Raw genomic sequence first — 22,244 nt, forward strand, 5'->3', positions numbered from 1 at the left:
TAAAATAGCCTGTGGGAACTAACATGAACTCACTAGAGTTCAGTTTCTGATCTCAACTCTGACCACTCATCCTATCACTCTGGTTCAACCACACTATCTTTTTTGATGGTCTTCAAACAAAAACATTTCTTCTTTTAAGATCAACTAAAAATACTCCTGCTTTTGCCTAGATTTCCTCATATCTTATAGCACTCCCCAAATTCATTGTTTTCCACTGAAAATAAAAATATTTTAGAAATTCTTCACTGACTACTGTATTTAAATTATCATTTCAAGCACCCTAAAACTGTCCCTTCTCTTACCTTGCTTTTACTTTTTCTCAGTAATCCTTACCACCTTTTGAATATGTTCCATTTACCTGCTTATTTGCTAAAAGAATATGTCCTCTTTCTTGAATTCGACTCTCAGAAGGTCATATCATTATGATATTATTTTGTTCACTGTTGTATTCCTAGAAGGATGCAGCAAACCTGAAAAACAGAATCCTTAAAAACATGTTGGATTGATTACATGAATGGAAAAAAAACATATAATGCATAGATACGAAAAACATATATAAATAGAAAGAAAAACAGATGAAAAGAGACAGAGAGGGAGATGAGGAGAAAGGGGTAGAGAAAGAGAGACAGAGAGAAATCAAGATAGTTTTCTTCCTCAAAGGTAAAGGTGTATAGTGTGTGCGTATGCATGTGTGTGTGCGTCTGTGTGTGTGTATAATAATGTGTGTATTATAATGACTTTTGGAAATTTAAAATATAAAGCCTAGGAGACCCAAAAATGGACTGTGAGGAATGAATCTTACTCTATTAAAAAGGTTAGAAGTGGGAGAAAAATAGGAGTTGATCTAAGTTGGAAAATAGTGTTTTGACTAAAAAAGAAATTAAAGCTAAGAAAAAAGGAACTGTACACAAGCACTGCATTTTAGTTGGTAAATTTGCTTCTCAAGGGGTGCATACTAAACATTCTAAAATTGCTTTATATGTATACTGAGAATGAATCAGCAAATGGATGCTGGATGGTGGAAGCCATGTTTCCCGTATTTGGAAAGGGATAACCAAAAACAGTAACTCAAAAGGCAAGGCTAGATAGAATCACATAGAAGTAGATTATAGCCAGAGATATCAGTATGAAATCATTCTTAGTTGAACACAGATGTGTAAATACAGAACCATTGATTGGTATCTGTGGATACATGTGTTCATATACAGAATATATTACCCAGCTCTCTCAGCTGAGATGTCCTATAAATTCACACAGTGCCAAGATTTTTGTTTCTAATATCATTGTTCAATAAAAGAAACTCCAGAATTCCTTGGAGAAATGGCTGATTATGAAGTTGAGATAAGGACATTTCGAGATGATCATAGAGCATCCTGTAGAACCCCAATTACAGAAGCATAATATTAAAACAAAAAAAAAGAAAAAAATGGGGCTTGAGGCATGTCACAGGTACACAAGGGGAATGAAAGAGCTTCCAATGCCAAAGCTGAAAGATTTGAGAAACAAAATAAAAAGTACAGTATTATATTTTAACAAGAAGTTGAAAAATTATACGAAATCCATACTGATATGTCAATTATTGCTTAAATAAATGGAGAAGATGCAAATCTGCTAGAGAATAATTTCACATAATCTATGAATATATGCATATCTTTAGGAGGAGGAGCATATTTAATCCCCAGCTCATCCTTTTGTGTGGAACTCACTTCCAAATAATAGAGTATGGAAAAGAAAAAACAGTATGAATGCAGTAGAGAAACCTATCAAACACCATCTTAACCAAGTGACCAGGTTTATCATCAGTGTTGTAATGTGGATATCACATAACTTTTATATGATATGACAAGATGGTCGTTTTACATATATAATTTTTTTCAAAATAATAATAACAATAATATCTACACTCTAATTATGAGGAACATCTTAAATAAATCCAAGAAACAAAATACCTAACCAGTTATCCCTGAAACTGCCAAGATTATGAAAAATAAGGAAACACTGAAATTCTTTCGCAGACAAGAAGAGACTAAGGAAACATGACAACTTAATACAATGTAGTTTTTAGTAGGTTTGATTTACATTTCTTTGATGATTAATGATGTTGAGTATTTCTTCCATACCTATTGGCCATTTGTATATCTTCTTTTGAGAAATGTCTATCCAATTGTAATGAGCTATCTTTTTACCCCAGTTAAAAGGGCTTGTATCCCAAAGACAGTCAATAACAGATGCTGACAAGATATAAAGAAAGAGAGGCATTTGTACACTATTGATAGAAATCTAACAGTATTGCCACTATAGAGAATGATATGGAGGTCTCTCAAAAAATTAAAAATAGAATTACCATGTGATCCAGTGATTCCACTGCTAATGAAATCAGTACTTTAAATCTGCATTCCCATGTGCACTGCAGCACTATTCACACTAGCCAAGGTATGGAATCCATGTAAATGTTCATCAACAGATGAATAAATAAAGAAAATGTGGTATATATACAAAATGGAATATCATTCAGCCCTCAAAAAGAATGAAATTCTGTTATGGGCAACAACATGGATGGAACTGAAGAACATTATTTTAAGTGAAATAAGCCAGGTAGACAAAGAAAAATATTGCATGTTTTCACTCATATGTGGGAGCTAAAAAAATATTGATCTCACGGAAATATAGAACAGAATGATGGTTAACAGAATCTGGGAAGGATAACGGGGAGGGAGGCAAAAAGGAGAAATGGTTGGTGGGTACAGATATAGAGCTAGATAGAAGGAATAAGACCTACTGTTCAGCAGCACAGTGGGACAACTATAGTTAACAATAATTTATTGTATATTTCAAAACAACTTAAAGAGCAGAACTGTAATGTTCCTAACACAAAGAAATGATAAATACTCCAAGTGATGGATATCCCAATTATTGTGACTTGGTCATTAAACATTGTACACATGCATCAAGATATCACATGTACCCCACATTTTAGTATAACTAAAAATAAAAATATAACAAACGCAACGTAGTACCCTGGATTGGTAACTAAACCACAAAAATCATGGAAAAACTGATGAAATTTGAGTAGTCCTGGATTTTGTCAACTGTAATACATCAACGCTGGTTTCTTAGTTTTGACAAGTATACTACTGTATAAGTACATGGTAATGACATTAAGGAGAACTGAAACTGGAAGAGGGGTGTGTTGCAACTTGCAGTACTACCTTTGCAATCATTATGTAATTAATTCAAAATAAAAAGTTTATTAAAAATATAAAGCAGAGCAAAGCAATAGATTGTAATATGGTGAGAAATATTGTAGTATAAATGATATCAAGAAATATATCTGGTTTCATTTGACCAGAGACTGAATGAATGAAGTCAGGGATATATAATTCCTCAGCTCTCTAGGGTTAGAAGGCTGTAGAAAGAAATACGAGTGCAAAGATTCTGAGTTAAGCTTCCAAATAATCTACAATTGTCATGAAAAATACATAAAGTGTCATTGGAAACAGCAAAAACTGAAAAATGGTTTCCCTGTTTTTGTAAACACATATCACTTTTTCTTTTATTTTTGGCTTACCACAGAAATTGAATCATTATATTTATTTATTTATTATTATTTTTTTTTAGAGGAAGTCTGGCTCTTGTCCCCCAGGCTGGAGTGCGGTGGTGCCATCTCGGCTCACTGCAACCTCCGCCTCTCAGGTTCAAGCAATTCTCCTGCCTCAGCCTCCTGAGTAGCTGGGATTACAGGCGCCTGCCACCACGCCTGGCTAATATTTGTATTTTTAGTAGAGACAGGGTTTCGCCATGTTGTCCAGGCTGGTCTGGAACTCCTGATATCAGGTGATCCGCCCGCCTCGGCCTCCCAAAGTGCTGGGATTACAGGGGTGAGCCACCGCGCCCAGCCTGAATCATTATATTTTTAAATAAAGAACACAGACTTAGGTACAATAAACTTCTCTATGCCCAGTTAATTATTAAATTCTATTTTAACATCTTCTTTTATTTTTGATTCTTATAACAAATAAAGAGAAAGTTGTTATCATTTTTGGCAATATAAAATGCTAAAATATAAGATGGTTTTTGTATTTCATATATACTTACATGACTTTAGCTTCTGTATTATCATTTCTTCAGAATTAAAACAAAGATGTTTATGTTTTTAAAGAAAATCTCCTTAAAAGATACACAGAGTTTGAAAACATTAATAAAGCCATATGTGTCTCTTGAAAATGGTTAATAAAATTTTCTATGCAGCCTGACTACTCACAAGATGCAATTGAAATCCTTGGGTATGAGACTACCCATAAATCCTGACAACTCAAATACAATTCCCAATGTTGCCTTATTTAAAACCTGAGGCATTTTAGCTATTCAGAAAGATTTGTTATTTAGTGCAACCTTATAAGATTCATATATAACCCTGTTGTTTATCAGTTAGGTTACAATCTGTCTTTTATAGAACAAACTAATATTCACAGAGGACAAAATTATCCCATGAATTTTGGATGGGCAAGCATGAAAAATAGAGAGGGTGTTTGCTGTGTTTGCTTAAATCGTATAACAGACTGCAAAATCTTGCTAAAATAGAAAAAATGTAATTTTAAGAGCTACTTAATGTAATATTGCTAACAGATTAAGTTATTTATTGATGAGGGGAGATGACTCACATCTGTAATCCCAATGCTTTGGGAGGCTGAGGTTGGAGAATCACTTGAGGCCAGCAGTTTGAGACCAGTAGTTTGAGACCAGTCTGGATAATACAGCGAGACTCAGTTATCTACAAAAAAAAAAAAAAAAAATCAAATAAAAAAATCAGTGGAGTGTGGTGGCGTGTGCCTATAGTCTCAGCTATTAAGGAGTCTAAGGTGAGTGGATCACTGGAGCCCAGAACATTGAGGTTACAGTGACATAAGAGCACCACCCCAGCTTCTTCCAGTTTCAGTTAACCCTAAAATTATTACATTATGTTACAGTAGTACCTTTGTCAAAACTAAGAAACTGATGTTGGTATATCACCATTGAAAAAATACAAGACTACTCAACTTTCACCAGTATTTCTATTAGCATTCTTTTTGTGCTCTAGTTATCAGTCCAAGGTACTACATTACATTTCATTTTTATTTGTACTAATTTATGAGTTATATGTGATATATTAATACATACATACAATGTATAAGGATCAAATCAGGGAGTGAGACCTTGTCTTCAAAAATAAATTAATTAAAAAATAAAATTTATTTATTTACATATTTTTCTGGGGCCAAAACCAGGTGAGTACAAATATAATGAATTGCATCATTGTTGCTGCATTCTTAAAATCTTCAAAACTTTATTTTTAAAATTACAGAAGAAAAATAGTATATATTCTGAACTAGTGATGCTCATGGTAAATTAATTCATAATAATATTTAAATTTTATCCAATTATTTAGTAAATAGTTTTAACTATCGCAGATCAAACTAATTACAGATGGTTTTGTTATATCTAGCTGTTGCTTTTCCTTCTCCTTGGTAAAATAAGGCTATACAAATAAGATGTTTAAAAATGAGACCAAATAAAAGCTACTAAAACAATCAGAGCACAAAGATATTAGGAGAATTAACAGGCAAGTGAATGCTTCTAATTCCCTGGGGGTTTGATTATCTTTTGTGAATTAAAGTTTCATAAAATCCAATGAAGTAAAAGAAAAGGAGGAATAAACTTGGTTTTGTTCATAACTTTGTAAATATAATTGTTACTTTGTTTCTATCAGTAAAAGTCACTGCACCTAAAGGATACCCAGGATGTCTTTACCATTATAAATACAGGACATTGGAGGTCACCATTCAGTAATGGGACACTGATATTTGACTTATTTTCAGAGTATAAATTAACATTAACCGACTTCATCTATAAAATGTCTGCTCCTCAATCTGCTCTTTGAAAAAGAAATATATATTTTTAATGCTAGCTTATTTTGTCTCAGAGTGAAACACATAAATACATGTTTTTGCCATAAGTTTGCACTCCTGATGGTTGGAAGATTTTTTTTTTTTTTTTTTTCCTGAGACGGAGTTTTGCTTTTGTTGCCCAGGCTAGAGTGCAATGGCGAGATCTCGGCTCACTGCAACCTCCACCTCCCGGGTTCAAGCAATTCTCCTGCCTCAGCCTCCCTAGTAGCTGAGATTACAGAAGCCCGCCACCACACCCAGCTAAGTTTTTGTATTTTTAGTAGAGACGGGGTTTCACTAGGTTGGCCAGGATGGTCTCGAACTCCTGACCTGAGGTGATCCACCCGCCTTGGCCTCCCAAAGTGCTGGGATTATAGGCCTGAGCCACCGCGCCCAGCAAGTTGGAAGATTTTTAGGAGATTCTAATAGACAAAATTATCTAGGGTAGTTTTATGTAGTTTCTATAGAGTTTTTATTTCACAGAGAAAGGAATTGAGGATTTAAGAGTGAAATGCCTTTCCCAAGGTCATGTAATATTTCCTAGAGGTGTCCGGAGGTAGACAACCTTTTCCTACCATAATAGTGTACTGTCCTACATGATATCCTAGGACTTAATGTTTGCAGTACGTTTTATTCATATCTTTATCTTCTCTTGTGTTGAAGGAGTTATGAAAGTTTGTAAAACTCTTTGTGCTTTCTATTCATATCAGAGACAGGCACTTCTGTGTCATTTGGTTCATTCAGTTCTGTTATCCCAAAATGTGAATTAACATAGCTAGCCACAAAAAGTTAAGTTTACCTAGTTTATTAAAAATGACATATATTATGTCTTTTAAAATATTAAAATTAAAACTACTTAAACATGATTGAAAAACTTTCCTCATGAATCAAATATAATGGTTTTTCTTCAGCAAATGATTTTGTGTGAATATATATATTTTATTCTTAAGGAAAATATAAAATATATAAAATTATTATATAGTTCCCCTTGATTATGAAGTTATGTTGGTATTACTGTAATGAAAATGAAGACTGGACTGCTAGCAGAATACTGTTAGTAATAATTAGCTACTAACTTTTTCAAAATAAGGAAATTTTTCACACATAACTTTTAGACAATGAAAAGGGCTGAGTAATGTTATATTTATTTTATCTCTAATATTTGATATGACATTATACAGTTTTATTAAAAACTGGTCACTGGGCCAGGCACAGAGGCTCACACCTGTAATCTCAGCACTTTGGGAGGCCAAGGCAGGCAGATCACAAGGTCAGGAGATCGAGACCAGCCTGGCCAACATGCTGAAACCCCGTCTCTACTGAAAATACAAAAAAAAAAAAAAAAAAAAAAAATTAGCCGGGTGTGGTGGCACGTGCCTGCAGTTCCAGCTACTTGGGAGGTGAGGCAGGAGAATTGCTTGAACCAGGGAGGTGGAGGTTGCAGTGAGCCAAGATCGCGCCACTGCACTCCAGCCAGGGCGACAGAGCAAGACTCCATCTCAAAAAACAAACAAACAAACAAAAAAAACAAGCAAACAAACAAACAAAAAAAACTGCTCACAGGTTTTCAGCAAGCTAGTCATTTGACATATCGTATTTTCCAATTTAATCATGCATGTTCTAATAATGAGAATAGCAAATCTGTTTTGAGACTTGTGAACATTTTTTTTCATGATGCCATGAGATGTATAAAGTATAACTGTGTGAGATTGAGCAGGGGAGAGTCTGATTAGTGATCTAGCCATTGGGCAAAAGCCTTTAACTCTAACTTTTCACTGTTAACACATCCGTGTTTGTTTGTTTATTTTGATTGTTTTGTTTTTTAAATTTATACTTTCTTACTCATCTCTTCTTTCGCATATAATCTTTTATAACAAAACATCTCTCTACTTAAAACATAAAGTCTTCATAATTATAAGCACCCAAATCACCCATTAATGCTTTTCTTTGCCTTGTTGTGCAGCCTGTAATTTTGTTCAAGAAGATAGAGAGTTCAAGATTTATGAGATACTTTTCTTCATCACATTTCTATTGAATCACTGAGATCTCCTTGAAACAGTGACAACTGATTCCTTTCATCGCGTATTTCCTCTTTCGTATCTCCACTTTGTTTGATCTGGGGAAATACATATATATGTGTGTGTGCATCTCCACTGCCTTACACATGCAAACTCAAAGACTAGTTTCTCTTAGGAGTAAATGCAAAACTACACACACACGCGCGCGCACACACACACACACCTGCACGCGCACACACGCACACATCAGATTGCTTTGTTATACATAGCCATTGCTTTTCCTTCTCATAAAAAAAGATATACCAATAAGACATTTAAAAATTAAACCAAATAAAAGCTCCTAAAACAATCAGAAGAAAAAGAGATTAGGAGAATTAATAGGCAAGTGAATTTCTCAAAAGAAAAATGTTCATGGGTTATTAAGGTACAATAACAATGTTTCGGCCACTAAATTTAACTAATGGGTAACCTAAATTTCAAAGCAAGGGCTTTTTTCTTTCATATTTTTTTTCCATTTAGTAAAAAAATACATATGAGGTCATGTTTTCAATTTATCTTTACTGGTTAAAATTCTTTTCAAGCTGCCTAATTTTGCAAGACTTACTATAATGTGCCAGTAGTAATGACAGTATGGCATTGATGAAGGAGTAGACAACATTCTTCATGGAACAGAATAAGGAGCTCAGAAATAGACCCATGGAAACATTGTCAACAGATCTTTGACAAGGGAGCACAGGTAATTTCATGAAGAACGGATGATCTTTTCAATTAATGGCTCTATAATCCTTAACCTTTGGCATTTGAGAATTGCTTGGTTTGTATTAATAATTTTTTTTTTTTGCAGTGAAGGACTCAAGATGTTATGCTGTAGATGGATGATGTAGTGATAAACCACTCTTCTGTATCTTTTGAGAATAGCTTCCTAGCATTATGTCACAATATTCACATATATAGATTTACTGAAAAAGCTAGTATGAATAAAATATTATTGGTTTTAAACCCTCAGAAATTATAAATAAAATAATTATAAATAAAAATAATAAGGTAGAGTCTCTATTCTTATATAATGTTAAAAATAATAAAGAGAGAAAACTTTAGACAAAACAGACACAAGTAACTTTTAATTATAAATGTTTCAAAATACACATCTATGAAGTGGAAGGCTCAAATAAGTTTAACTTAGCTGAACATCTGCTTAATACATGTAAAATAATGTTCAACACAGCACAATACATACTTAAATCATTAAAATCATAAATATTATGTACATAGCATGACTCTTTATAAAGTCTTGACTTTTATAAAGGAAATATAGCTATATTGCTTTGTGTTAATATATGATTGTCCAATTTTAAAATTTATTTTCTCCCCTACATTACAAATATCTGATTGTAATTCTATAAAATGTTGGAAACAGCATATATATGCTCTTTGGAAAAGACAGCACACACACACGTACACATGCACAAACACATAATTTTCAAAGTGAAAACAACATTTTAAGCTGCTTCTTCTTGAGTAGCTAATACTTTTAAGAATTCAAAAATGAGTCTGGCTTATTTTTAATTATAAACAGTGTTATCCTTGTTGTTTCCACATTCATTAAATGTATATTATAAAATTGCGGGATAACTTATTTTTTGTTACTAATTGTAATTCCCAATAAAATTGAAGGAAAACCTAACAATGTTCATTCATCACTTGGAATTTGAATATCCTGGCCATCATATGCAGTGTTTAACATGTAAACTGCCACCTAGAATTGAGTCTGGCTCATAGTTTAGCAAGACTTTTAAAGGGTTTGATACACCGTCAATTGTTCTTGTTTGCTAAATAGGTTTGTGAAGCAACAGAATCTGATCTGTGTTTCCTGTGTCTCAATAAAAGATGCTAGAAATATGCCACTTTAGAAATAAGTTATTTGCTTGAAATTGTTCTCCTGACCATCACAAACATTTCTATAGTTCCTTTCCTGATTCATTTATCGGTTCTAACCTTCTCTTTCACTGTACTTTCATGTGATTCTCTGATCAACATGATTTTCTTCCTCCCTCCCTCCCTCCTTTCCTATCTTTCTTTCTTTCCTCATTCCATTCCCCATAGTAACACTTAATATAGCACCATGCTAAATTACGTGTACAGAATTTCTGTACAGAAGACAGAAAGAGAAACCAAGGATTAATCCTCTCTTCAGTTAGTTTAGGGTTAGGAGTTAAGATGCTGAATATCAAATAAAATGTGAAACCTAGTAACTGTATATATCATAATTAGAATTTTAAATAAAGTACATTTTTGCCCATCTACCAACTTCAAATGTTTATTCTTCATACAGGAGTCACCTCACGCTTCATTTCCCAGTCTTCTAAGTTTGAAATATTTCTTCTTTGAAAAAATTCTCTAAGCTGTTTTACTTTCTCATTCAAGCAGTTTCTGAAATCCCATCTATCTATGAAATTTTTTAAAAGCATGACAAAGTAATAAACTATTTGGAAAAATATTATTTCTGAAATCATGATAAAAACATTATGAAAAAGTAAAACCTAGTCTATCACCCTCCATACCTAAGAGTAAACAAAAGAGAAAACTAAGCATTCTCACTTATGTGTGTGTAAGTATATATTTTGAAACTAGAAAGAATTAAAACTATATTTTAATTCATAAAATACATTTATTATCCTCCTCTCACTTTATTTTGGGTGCCTTTTCAGTTTTTCAACTCTGAATCCTTTTCTGCATTCAGAGAGGTCATTAATTTTGTGTTTTATTCCTGAACTGCTTTAGAGTTTGTCTTGTGTGCTGCTCCAACATTTATCGAGGTTTTCTTAGCTTTTCAGGTTCAATGAATTTGTGAAAGTTGCAGTTATGTGCATTTCCAATCTTTTCCTTTGAAAACCAAGGGGAATTGAGGTGGTTAGGGGCTGCAGGGCAGCAGTCAACTATTACAGTTTTAAAAATGTAATATAGTGTTTGCTCTGCTAAGGAAAGTAACAAGGGAATACAAAACTAGGTTTGCAGTTGAGTAGAAAAATATTGACTCCACAAAAGTAAATAGAAGACACAAAATACAGAACATTTCACAGAGCAATATTAGAGATTAGGTCAGCCTTCAAGTCTTTTACTACAAGCCAACTAAATTAACCAGAGGAGGCTGATGCTATAGGGAAGGACTCCAAGATTTTATCCTGTAGATGGTCTAATGAAAAACTCTTCTTTTTGATCCTTTTGAGAATGCTGTCACAATATCAGTTCATCTTATTGGTAATATATATATATATATTTATTGAAAAATGTAACATTAATAAAAGTTAACTGGTTATAAGTTTTAGTAATTTTAATTAAAAAGAAAGCTACAATTTTTTTCTGTATTTAACTTTAAACATGTAAAAAGTGAGAAAACACCCTGGACAGAAGGATGTTCTTTCTATATATTTTAAAAATACAAATCTATGCAGATTTACAGTAAGAGGCTTAAATGAGTTGTAATTCTATTCAACACACTCTTTACAGACTTAAGCTATTAACAATTAGGGATCTTACCTATTGTGCATTCATACCAAAACACAGTTTTTACAAACTAAGGAGGCACAATATGCTTAATCTTTTTTTTTTTGTAAAAGAATACTTTTTAAAAATTCTGACTTTTATGAGGCAAATGCTGTCATTCTATTGTTATATTAATCTACGTGTATCCATGGATCAATTTCTTTTTGGAAGTGGGCATTATTATATAAAATATTAGGAAGGAAGGCCAATAATAAAACAGTATCAACCTAAAAAATGAGACTAGGAACAGTACGAAATATAAAGGGAGTAATGAAACAAAGTTTGTTTCAGTATTTAGTACAGAACAACTATTTCAACAGAAGGAAAGGAATCATTAGGCTGGCCTTTTTGTGTGCATTTGATTATGTTGCCTATTGCCTGAAACATAATAAATATTCACTAAAAACTTATTAATCTTTGGGAAGAAGACATGACTTATACTATTAGCTCTGCTACCCCTTAGCTTGTAACATTGGACAATTTGTTTTCCCATTATGGGCCCTGATTTCTTTGCTACTGAAAAAAAAATTGGCCTAAATAACCATTAATGTTCTTTCCAAATACTAAAATTTTATGTTTATATAAACTTTTATGTGTATAAAAATATAAATATATTTTCTTAATTGTGTCTTAAATTGCTAAGAATTCATTTTGCTTTATTATCTTAAATAGAAGTAGTCTGCTTTCTTAAGTAGTGTATATTGGATATCCATTAAACATTTCAGGAAGACTTAGATCCTAATCATAAACATTAATTAGTTTTCTTCACTGTCTATCCCTTTGCTCTTAGCTGTTTATTTTACTTTCAACTTTAAGGAATGGCTATTTTATAATAAGTGAGCTTGAGTAAGCTTTTAGGCCTAGAGGAAGAGTGGAATGAGAAGATGTTATTTTCAACACAAAAAAGAGATAGATTAATATTCTGAATACAAGTTGAAGAAAAAACTTTGCAAGAGAGTTTTAAATTATTTTATTGTCATTTTTAAAATTGTCACATAACAATTGTACATATTTATATTGTGATGTTTCTATACATGTACACATTGTGCAATGATCAAATTAGTGTAACCAGCATTATTCATCATTGCAAACATTTATTATTTATTTGTAGTCAATATTTAAATTATCTTGTAGCTGTTTTGAAATATACAATATATTATTATCTATAGTCACGCTACTGTGCAATAGAACATCATAGGTTATTCTTCCTATCTAATTGTATCTTGGTACCTATTGACTATTATCTCCCCATTCTTGACTCCCCCAACTGTCCTAGGCTCTAGTAACCACTATACAATTGCTACTGATTTGAGTCCCTTATGTATTATTGATATTAACTCCTTGTCAGACATGTAGCTTGCAAATATTTTCTGTCATTCTGCACAATGTCTTCACTCTGTTGTTTCTTTTGCTATGCAGAAGCTTTGTAGTTTGATGTGATCACATTTGTCTATTTTTTATTTTATTGCCTGTGCTTTTATAGTCATATGCAAAAAATTCTTGCTAGTACAATGTCATGAAGTATTTTCCTTAGGTTTTCTTTGGGTACTTTCATAGTTTTGAGTCTTAAATTTAAGTCTCAATGAAGAACTCAGAAACAAATTCATGCATCTATAGGCTACAGATTTTTAACAAATATACCAAGAACACACATTGGGAAAAAAGAAGAGTCTCTTCAAAAGTGGTGCTTTTGAAGTGGATACTCCAAAATTGGGTATCTACATGTAGAAGAATGAAACTGGACCCTTATCTTTCACCTATACAAAAATCTACTTGAAGTGGATTACATTTTTTTTTACAAAAATTTTTTCAAAAGTATTTCTAAGGGATATGGCTTCAGAGTCCAAAGGTTAACGTGTAAGTGGAAAACAGCCATGCTTAAGACAATATGGAATGTTTAGAACTGTGGAAAGTGGGAGTGAGACAGACTCTCCTCAGGCCTTTTTGATTCAAATCTTTTAAATACTGCTCTGTTGATCAAAGGTACTGAATTTGCATAATTTCTGTGGTATTTTCTACTATTATACAAAATACTACCAGCAGTTGTTTATGCTCTCACACTGCTATTGTAAATAAATGACAGAAAATATTTGCAAGCTATATGTCTGACAAGGAGTTAATGTCAATAATATATAAGGAACTCAACTGAGTAGTAATTGTATTGTGGTTACCAGAGTGCAGGAGCGTTGGGGGAGAGAAAAATGGAGAGATACAAGCCAATAGGTACAAAGATACAATTAGATAGGAAGAATAACTTATAGTGTTCTATTGCACAGTAGCATAACTATAGATAATAATATATTGTATATTTCAAAATAGCTACAATACAGAATTTAAATGTTCTGACTACAAAGAAATAATAAATGTTTGCAGTGATGAATAATGCCAATTACCCTAACTTACTAATAATTCAAAAGTGCATGGTTTCACTGAAGAAGTCTAAGATCTACAGAGGTAACTTCTGATTATGAAAAAAAAAAAAAAAAAAGATGTTTTGTTTGTCTTTCACTCCAGGGCAAGTTTTGGCTCTGAGTGCAGGATGCCTGGTCAATGCAAGAGGAAACATTACTCCCACAGAGAAAGCCATTTCAATTATGGATCATTTTCCTCTTATACCCAATTCATTAATAACTTAGGTTATAATTTCCAGCTAGCTACGACCCTGTTAATGCATAAATTCCAGGTTTATTTACACAGAGAAAAGAAGGGCAGAACTCTATTAGAATTCTGTATCCCTTTACAACGTACACAAAACTTATGAGTGGAAAGACTTGCAAGTTGAAAGTTGGGAGTTAGGAAGACAAATGTAGAGTTTTAAAAATGCTGCTCACACAGAAAGAGTAGAGGAGTTATAGATTGTTTAATCTAAAACACATGACTCATTTAGGACTCAAAGTGTCTCCCTGAGTATTAAGGTTGCAAGACTGCTTTATTTTTCTTTCATTATTATTTTTTTTACTTTTACTGAAGAGAAAGTAAAATAAAATACAGTAAGTGACATTTAAGAAAGCACACTTGACTACAAGTACTGTGTCACACAAAATCATTTTTAAAGGGTGCTGTAAAAATCTCATTTTAGACATTGCTGTAGTGTAAAATCCACCTCCAAATTTGCACCAACCTCTCAGCCCTGCCATACAAAGCTTTTCGTAAAGTATGCGCTCTAAGTGCTCAGAGATACTTGATGATTGATTGAATAATATTAAAATGATGTCAATTAGTGCATTCAGAAACTTTAATGGACTGCAACTCTAGGTAAAACTTGTTTTTAAGTGGAACTTCTATAAACAAAGTTTTGAAATGAGTGCCTCTTTTTTTGAGATGAAGGAAATGTGTTTTATGTTCAGAATGTGTTAAAGAGAAGTATATACTACTTCAACCACTACATGTTATTCTTTATCTCTCATAACTAGAAAATCCATGAGGGAAAAGATATGGTTAGTAGATTTGTTGCCATATCTCAGCTGTTGCAATAGTGCCTGGAAAATAGTAAATAAATAGTATATAGATATCTAATTTTGATATTTTGTTAGTATCAAATTTTGAATTTTGTTGAGTGAGTGCATTACTGAATCATATGGAACAGTACTGGGGATTATTGAAAGGGTTTGTAACCAGTGACTTGTGAGGTATGTGGTAAAGAGTAAAGTTTTCCGAGGTTTCAAGTCTGGACAGCTGAGATGACACTGGTGTCACTAACAGTAACAACAACAACAACAAAACAAAACAAAAAAAACAGAATAAACATAGAAAGTGGAATAATTTTTAAATAAAAAAATAAATTCAGAATTACCTATATTGTAGTCAACGAGACTGCAAATTAGAAAAGTAAAATTTTCCACCAGTCTGGGGAAATCTAGAATAAGTTCAGAGCTAGTGATAAAGATTTTGGAGATATTTGCCTTAAGTGTTGCATTTCTAAAAGTGGATGGGCTTGAAGGAAAAAAACAAAGACAATAGGTTATTGCTTTAAAAATGCACATACACACACACACACACACACACACATATACACACAGTATACCTATTATATGTATATTTAGAGAGAGAGAGAAGATGAAAGTAAAATTGTACTAAAAGAAAAATAAGAACAACAACAGCAACAAAACAAAACAGTGTCATACAAGCAGTGAAAAAAGAATTTTCACGAGGAGAAAGTAGTCAACTCCATCAAATGAACTGGAATTATTTAAGGTCTGAAAATATGAATGGCAGCTTTCTCTCACCCCCAGTCTGAACCAGAAGCAGACAAATCAAATTGAATTGACCTTCTGGGTTCAGATATAATTTGGTACCTCTGTAGAAACTATTTTATTTGAGGAAAATATACCTAATTAAGTGTGCCGTCTTTACTGAACTTAATCATTTTTACATGCTTACAAATTTCAAATCCCCTATTACACCACTTTGAAACTCACAACTTCCTAAGTAGAGGTTAGTAATACCCACATTAAAATCTTGCACATGCACCAAAAAGCAAAATATGCTCATAAGTAGATTTCGTACGTGTGCATTTTAGTTGATATCAAGTTTATTGTATAAATGCAACAAACCCTTAAGGAATATGTGGTAATGTTTTCTGCTCTATTGCTAGAGGAAAAGTAAGTCTGTTCTAAATAAGTACAACATTTCCTCTCCTCCTAGACCAACCAGGGTCTTCTACTGATGGTTCCTCCCTCCTTGTCTTTTATATGAGTTACATCAGTTTTCCCTGTCATCATACAGCTGCTACTCTTTGATTAATCTACAGTGAGTTTTCTCCCTTCTGTCCTGTTAGCTGTTGCTTTCCCTCTTCATTGCACCTCGACTTTTTCACCTCTCATCCTTTGCCTGTCAGTTTTGTTCAGCTTCTTTCTCCATTCTTAATTTCCATAACTGTAATCCTCTTGTAGTTTTGGTCTGCTGATTTTGGATGCTTTGTATCTCTTTGTATGTGGCTTACTATTCTGCCCTATGCATCTACAGTGCATGTTTTTGTATCATGCTACTTTTTAAATATTGCATCAGGTCTGAAGTTTTACACCACAGAATATTATATTAGTACTTTTTCTCATTCCATTTTACTACTGAACTTATTCCCTTTACATCATATCACCCTACATTTCCTGGCATTTTACTGCTGTGAGTCCTCGGTCTTTGTGCAGTGCCAATGAATCAACATCCTTTATTGTACTAAAGCAATTTACAATGGCCACTAGTGAATTGCACTTTTTGGCTACTCCAGGGAAAGACTATCTATTCTTTTTTTTTATTATTATTACTTCTTGTTTCCACTAAGGAAAAATCACTCCATGTAGAAAGTGATAAAAAAGTAGAACCCAGATTTATTACAAGTCAGGAATAGTGATTTTTTTTCCTTTTTTATTTTAGCTTTTGATATAATTTAGTTGGGAAAAACAAAGATTCAGAAAATTAGCTGCAACCTCTAATTTGTATTACTTATTGTGCAACTGAGGCTATGTCATCATAACTTTAAAGCATAAAAATAGTAATTTCAGTTACTATTTGAAGGCAGGAATCTTAGTAAATATAAACAAATTGTCATGATTAAGCTCAATTTTTGTTACAGAATTGAGGCAAATCTATATGTGTCAGTGAGTATAATTAAAACATAGATTTCTTATGTTTTGATATTAAATTTTAGTCTGTTTCACAATATGTTAAATGTATTAGTTAATAAGAGCTAATAAGGCAACTTAAGAACAGTTGTTTGTTTTTTCCATTTTCTCCATATTACCAACCATTGGTTTTCTCATCTATAAAAGCTTGAAAATGGAGTTTTCTATGGTAATTTTCTTCTAAATCCATATTTCTTTTACTAATTTTCAAAATAGCTTTCAGTTTTGTTCGTGAAAATAACAGCCAGGGGATAAAAAAAATTATCTTCTGATCTTTTCTCTTGTCAGAAGATTTTGCAATCCTATAAATAAATATTTAATGCTATAGAAAGTTTATCAAAGAAAATTTTCTGTGAAAAGTACATTAATCTGAAAGGTTAACATTTAAATTTATTTAGACACATCTTTACTTTAAAATCAAAGCTCTTTATGGAATATAGCAATGTATCTAATCGCCAAATTCAGCTAACCCTTTCTGAAACCTATTATACTTGACCCCCTTTTTTGCGATGGCTTCACAACACATAACACTTCTCCATTGTTGATATTTTTCCACTCTCATCCTCCTTTCTTTGTGACGGGCCATTTTCAATGTCACCATCCAGTTCTACTAACATTTTATCTATGCAGTTATAATTTACGTATTGGTAATTCTTATGTTATCTCTCTATTACAGGCAGTTAGGCATGAGTGGGGGCAGAAGAGGGCTCTCCCTCAACCCACTAGAAATATCTGGTGATGGTTCGGCAATTATCGCATTGCCTCTCTAAAAGTGATAATTAGGCAGTGCCAGGGAGAAGCATTTCCCGATGGTCCACATCTGTTACCATCAAAATGTTAATTGAATGCAGGCCCCAGGGAAAAGCAACTTTCTGGGAATGCTTATTAAAATACAAAAATGGCGAAGTATAATCTTCAGGGTACACTCCACCGGAAAAAGGAAGAAAGCCTCAGGTGGGCATGCCTATAGCTCCCTAAACACACCGGCGTACTTACTTTCAAAGGGTCAGGAGGGCTCGGCGCATGCGGGCAGACCACCCTAAGGGATGAATCACTGGAAAGAGGCAAGCTTATACAAATCCTAGAATTAGGGTTAAACCAGGCATTTGACCTTCTCTCTTTAACTCTCATGTACCTGATTGGGTCTTTTCCAAGTGCACCTTCCTTTCTTTCCTGTTCCAAGGTCTTTTAAAATAAACTTCCACTCCTGCTCTGAAATTTGTATGCAACCTATGGGTCGCTTTTTCTCCCTTAGGACCCTCAGTCAAATTCTTTCTTCTGAGGAGGCATGGACAGAAGTTGCTACGAACCCGTAAGGATAGGCCACCAGTAACACAGAATAACTCTGATCTCCTCCACCGTTAACCTATTCATCCCAGTTTCTCATCTTGCTCTCAAGATACTTCTCTCTGATGGTAAGTAAATCTGCATTTCTCATAACATACTAAAGGTTGAAATTAATCTTACTAGACATCCCCTCACTTAATTCCCCTCACTTTAAATCTGTTCCACATCCTAACTTTAACAATTGCACTGAGTTCCATCCAGTCACCTAACTCAGAGATCTAGAACTTTTCCCTTTCCCTCAGGCCCCCAAACTTGGGTTCACTATTTCAATAGATACACAAACTCCAATTCCTGCCTCAACAGTTACCTTGTTGCTCTACAGTACCTGATGCTTTTAGTGTGCTCCTTTTACAAGACAATCCATTCATGGCCTTCTACTAATCCTCTGAGTTTTTCCCTGTGGCCTTGTGGATGAAGAACAGATACCCTTGGAAGGTAGATAAGACCTTAGATGATCTAAGCTTCACTAACTCTCCAGTTATCTACTGCTAATTCCATTTTTTGTTGTATCCTTTTGACAAAGGCCATATAATTTATGTAATCCTGGCCTTTCGTTTTTGTTCATAGTTTTCAATTCATCTTCAGTGTTGCTCCAAAAAACCAAAAATTCTTATAAAAAGCTAATAAAAGTATATATATTTATTTTTCTTATCCTCCCATAAATGCTAAGGCTGTTAATTACCTCCTTTTTTTCTGTGTCTTGTATTCATCTCTAGGAAAGATTGTTCAGATGAAATATGTGTGTTTTAATAACCCAAATTAAAGGGCAAAGATCTGTATTAAAGTTGCTTTGAGTTTGATTTCTATTTATATTATTTTCTTCTACAATATATACTTAGACTTTTATAATTATCTATTTTGTGAAGAGTCTTCATGTTATATTTGTAAATGCTGAAAAATATTGTCATGAGGATATTCATCTTTCCCTGTGTTATGTGTCAAAATTGTGTAATTAGCATTTTATATCATGTATTGCCATTATCCGTTGGTGAGTACCTATATCATTCTAAGTTAAAAATTTCCAAATACCTGTTTCATGCAACAACTTACAAGCATTTTCCATATTCAAATATGCTTGGGAAATGCTGAGGTAAAAGTTGATAGATGTTTTTACTGTAGGGAATCTTTGAGCCATTATATGCTGCCATGCATTGTAAATTTTCCAGAGCAAGATATACAATAATACAATGTTTCACAAACTTATTTGACCAAAGTATTTTTTTGTTGTTGTTGTTTTAAGGAGCGGAGAGTTTAATAGGCAAGAAGCAAGGGAGAAGACAGAAGGAAGAAGCTTCCCCATACAGAGAAAGAGGGAGGAGGGCTCCAAAGCTGAGAGAGGAGGTACCCGCCTGCCAAGGATACCAGCCAGGTATATATGCCGAGGCTGGAGGAGGCAGTGTTTGATTTGCATAGGGCTCAGGGGATTGGTTTGACTAGCCATGTCATTCATGTAGCCTGAGAAAAAGCTGGCCCTCCCACCCTAGCCTTTTTTTTTTTTGAGATGGAGTTTCTCTCTGTTTGCCCAGGCTGGAGTGCAGTGATGCCATCTCAGCTCACTGCAACATCCACCTCCCAGGTTTAAGTGATTCTCCAGCCTCAGCCTCCAGAGTAGCTGGGATTACAGGTGCCCACCACCACGCCCGGCTAATTTTTGTATTTTTTAGTAGAGGCAGGGTTTTGCCATGTTGGCCAGCCTGGTCTTGAACTCCTGACCTCAGGTGATCCACCCACCTAGGCCTCCCAAAGTGCTGGGATTACAGGCATGAGGCACTGCACCCGGCCCACCCTAGCCTTTTAATATGCAAATGCAGGGCCCATGGGTGTTCTACACACATGGGGATATGTGGGGGTGGCCATGTTGCCAGGAACATGTGGGGAAACGCCAAGAAGGCTGTAGGAATCACCATGTTGGGTGGATCCAGGTTCTAATGGCTAGCATTTGCAAATCAAAGGTTGCCAGCCTGGGTCTAAGAGCCGGGGCTTTAGAAGAAACTTTTCTGGAGATGCTTTAAAAAATGAAAACTTCCCAATACCCCTTTTCCTCTCCATCTGCCTAAAATAATTTCTTAGTAACTCCTATAACATTCCCCCCTGTGGAGATGCCACACTAACTGCTGTTAGGGGATTTTGGGTGATGACTCTTTCTGGCTACTTTCTGCTGAAAAGGGGTGTGGAATGGGGAACAGCACCTAGGGTTCCTCCTGGGGATGATCTAAGGGTCTTGGAAGAATGGCACGTCCATGTGTGGTTCAATTTACAGCACCGTTTGGAGTTTGATTGCTTCTAGGTGAGAAGAGACAGTTTGAGTTATAGTATTGAGTGTACAGATTCCAAATGTTAATACAAGACATATAAGCAAGAAAGAGGCTAATAAAGGGGCTAACCAGTTTTATAAAGAAAACTGGAATTCATTAAAGAGGGATTGTAGCCACCTGGGGCTGAAGCTGGCATTTTCCCTGAGCCTGCCAATAATTTTGATTTGATCTTTAAGTACCTGTAGATTTTCCTTTACTATACCAGAGGTGTTAATCCAAAAGCAGCATGTTTCATTTAAAAGTGCATCACTAGACCCAATAAAAAGTCTTAGCAGACTCAGTGATAGTAAAACTTTCAAGCTTCCTTTTTGTTAGTAACTATTATCCCTGCTATAAGGATAATAATTAAACAAAATATGACAGTGATAGAAACTTTCTGTTCAATATTTCAGTTAGAAGGTGCTACTGTGTATAATCCTATTGCAAATAGTAGAGTGAGGACAGCAGTTCCCACATATACGTTGTGACAGGTAATTTCCACATATGTGGTGTCATAGGTAATTTCCATCTAACATTTTACTTGGCAAGATATAGAAGTCTCCTTTGAAGGTCTATAAAGTTCCTTGGTTTTATTTTCCCAAACAAAGAAACCTCTGGGTTATGGGCACCTTATTCACTTTCATTACCTGGCAGAATTTGCAAGATAATTGCCCAGAACTAGCATACTGATTCACATTTGTACGTTACCCATCCTTTTTTTTTTTTTCTCCGAGCTGCAGAAGATCACCACTCGACTCACAGGAAATAGCAGGGTTAATCTAAAATGTAGTCAAAAAGCTTAAAAACAGTTAACAAGACAAGGATTTAATGACAAATGTATGATAAGCTTTGGAGCAAAATTTTTCTCTCCAGTCCTCATTTTTGGCAAAAACTAATTATGAATAAATGTTAGTCTTATACTTGGGCTGATTATTTGCATAAAGTGCAGCAAGAATGTTTATTTTTACATAGGCCTTTTGGATTGGCTTTGATAAAACTCTGTTCCATAAGGAATTTCAGATAAGACTTTTAAAGCTGAGCCCAGCCATGGGTTTGTATCCTCCAATACCTGTGAGTTGGGTAATCCTCTCCTCTTGAGGTCCCAAGATAAACTCAGAGCTTCCAGACCTGTTAGAAAGTGACATTCTTTACTGACCACAGGTTAGGAACCCTGTGGGGGGACAATGTAGACAAGGTATGAAGCCAGTTCTCCCCAAGGGGCTTATATTGGCTCCGCAGGTGAAGCTTGATTCCTTAAAGGAAAACACACCCTTTCGGTCAAAGCCTTGGTAAAATAACCAGTTTTTCCAATTGTGTTCTGTTGACAAAGAAAAATGGATTCTTATTGCACTGATGCTAACAACTATATTGCCATAAGTTAAGAGTACTCACAGATAGTCTCCAAATTTTAGAGGAACCAGGCAGAGAAAAATGAATATGCTCCAAATTTTGTTCACGGTAGTATACCTTACTTAATTATTAAAGACCATAAATCATTTA

The sequence above is a fragment of the Homo sapiens genome, chromosome 13, assembly GCF_000001405.40.
Source record: "Homo sapiens chromosome 13, GRCh38.p14 Primary Assembly".
Classification (NCBI taxonomy): domain Eukaryota; kingdom Metazoa; phylum Chordata; class Mammalia; order Primates; family Hominidae; genus Homo; species Homo sapiens.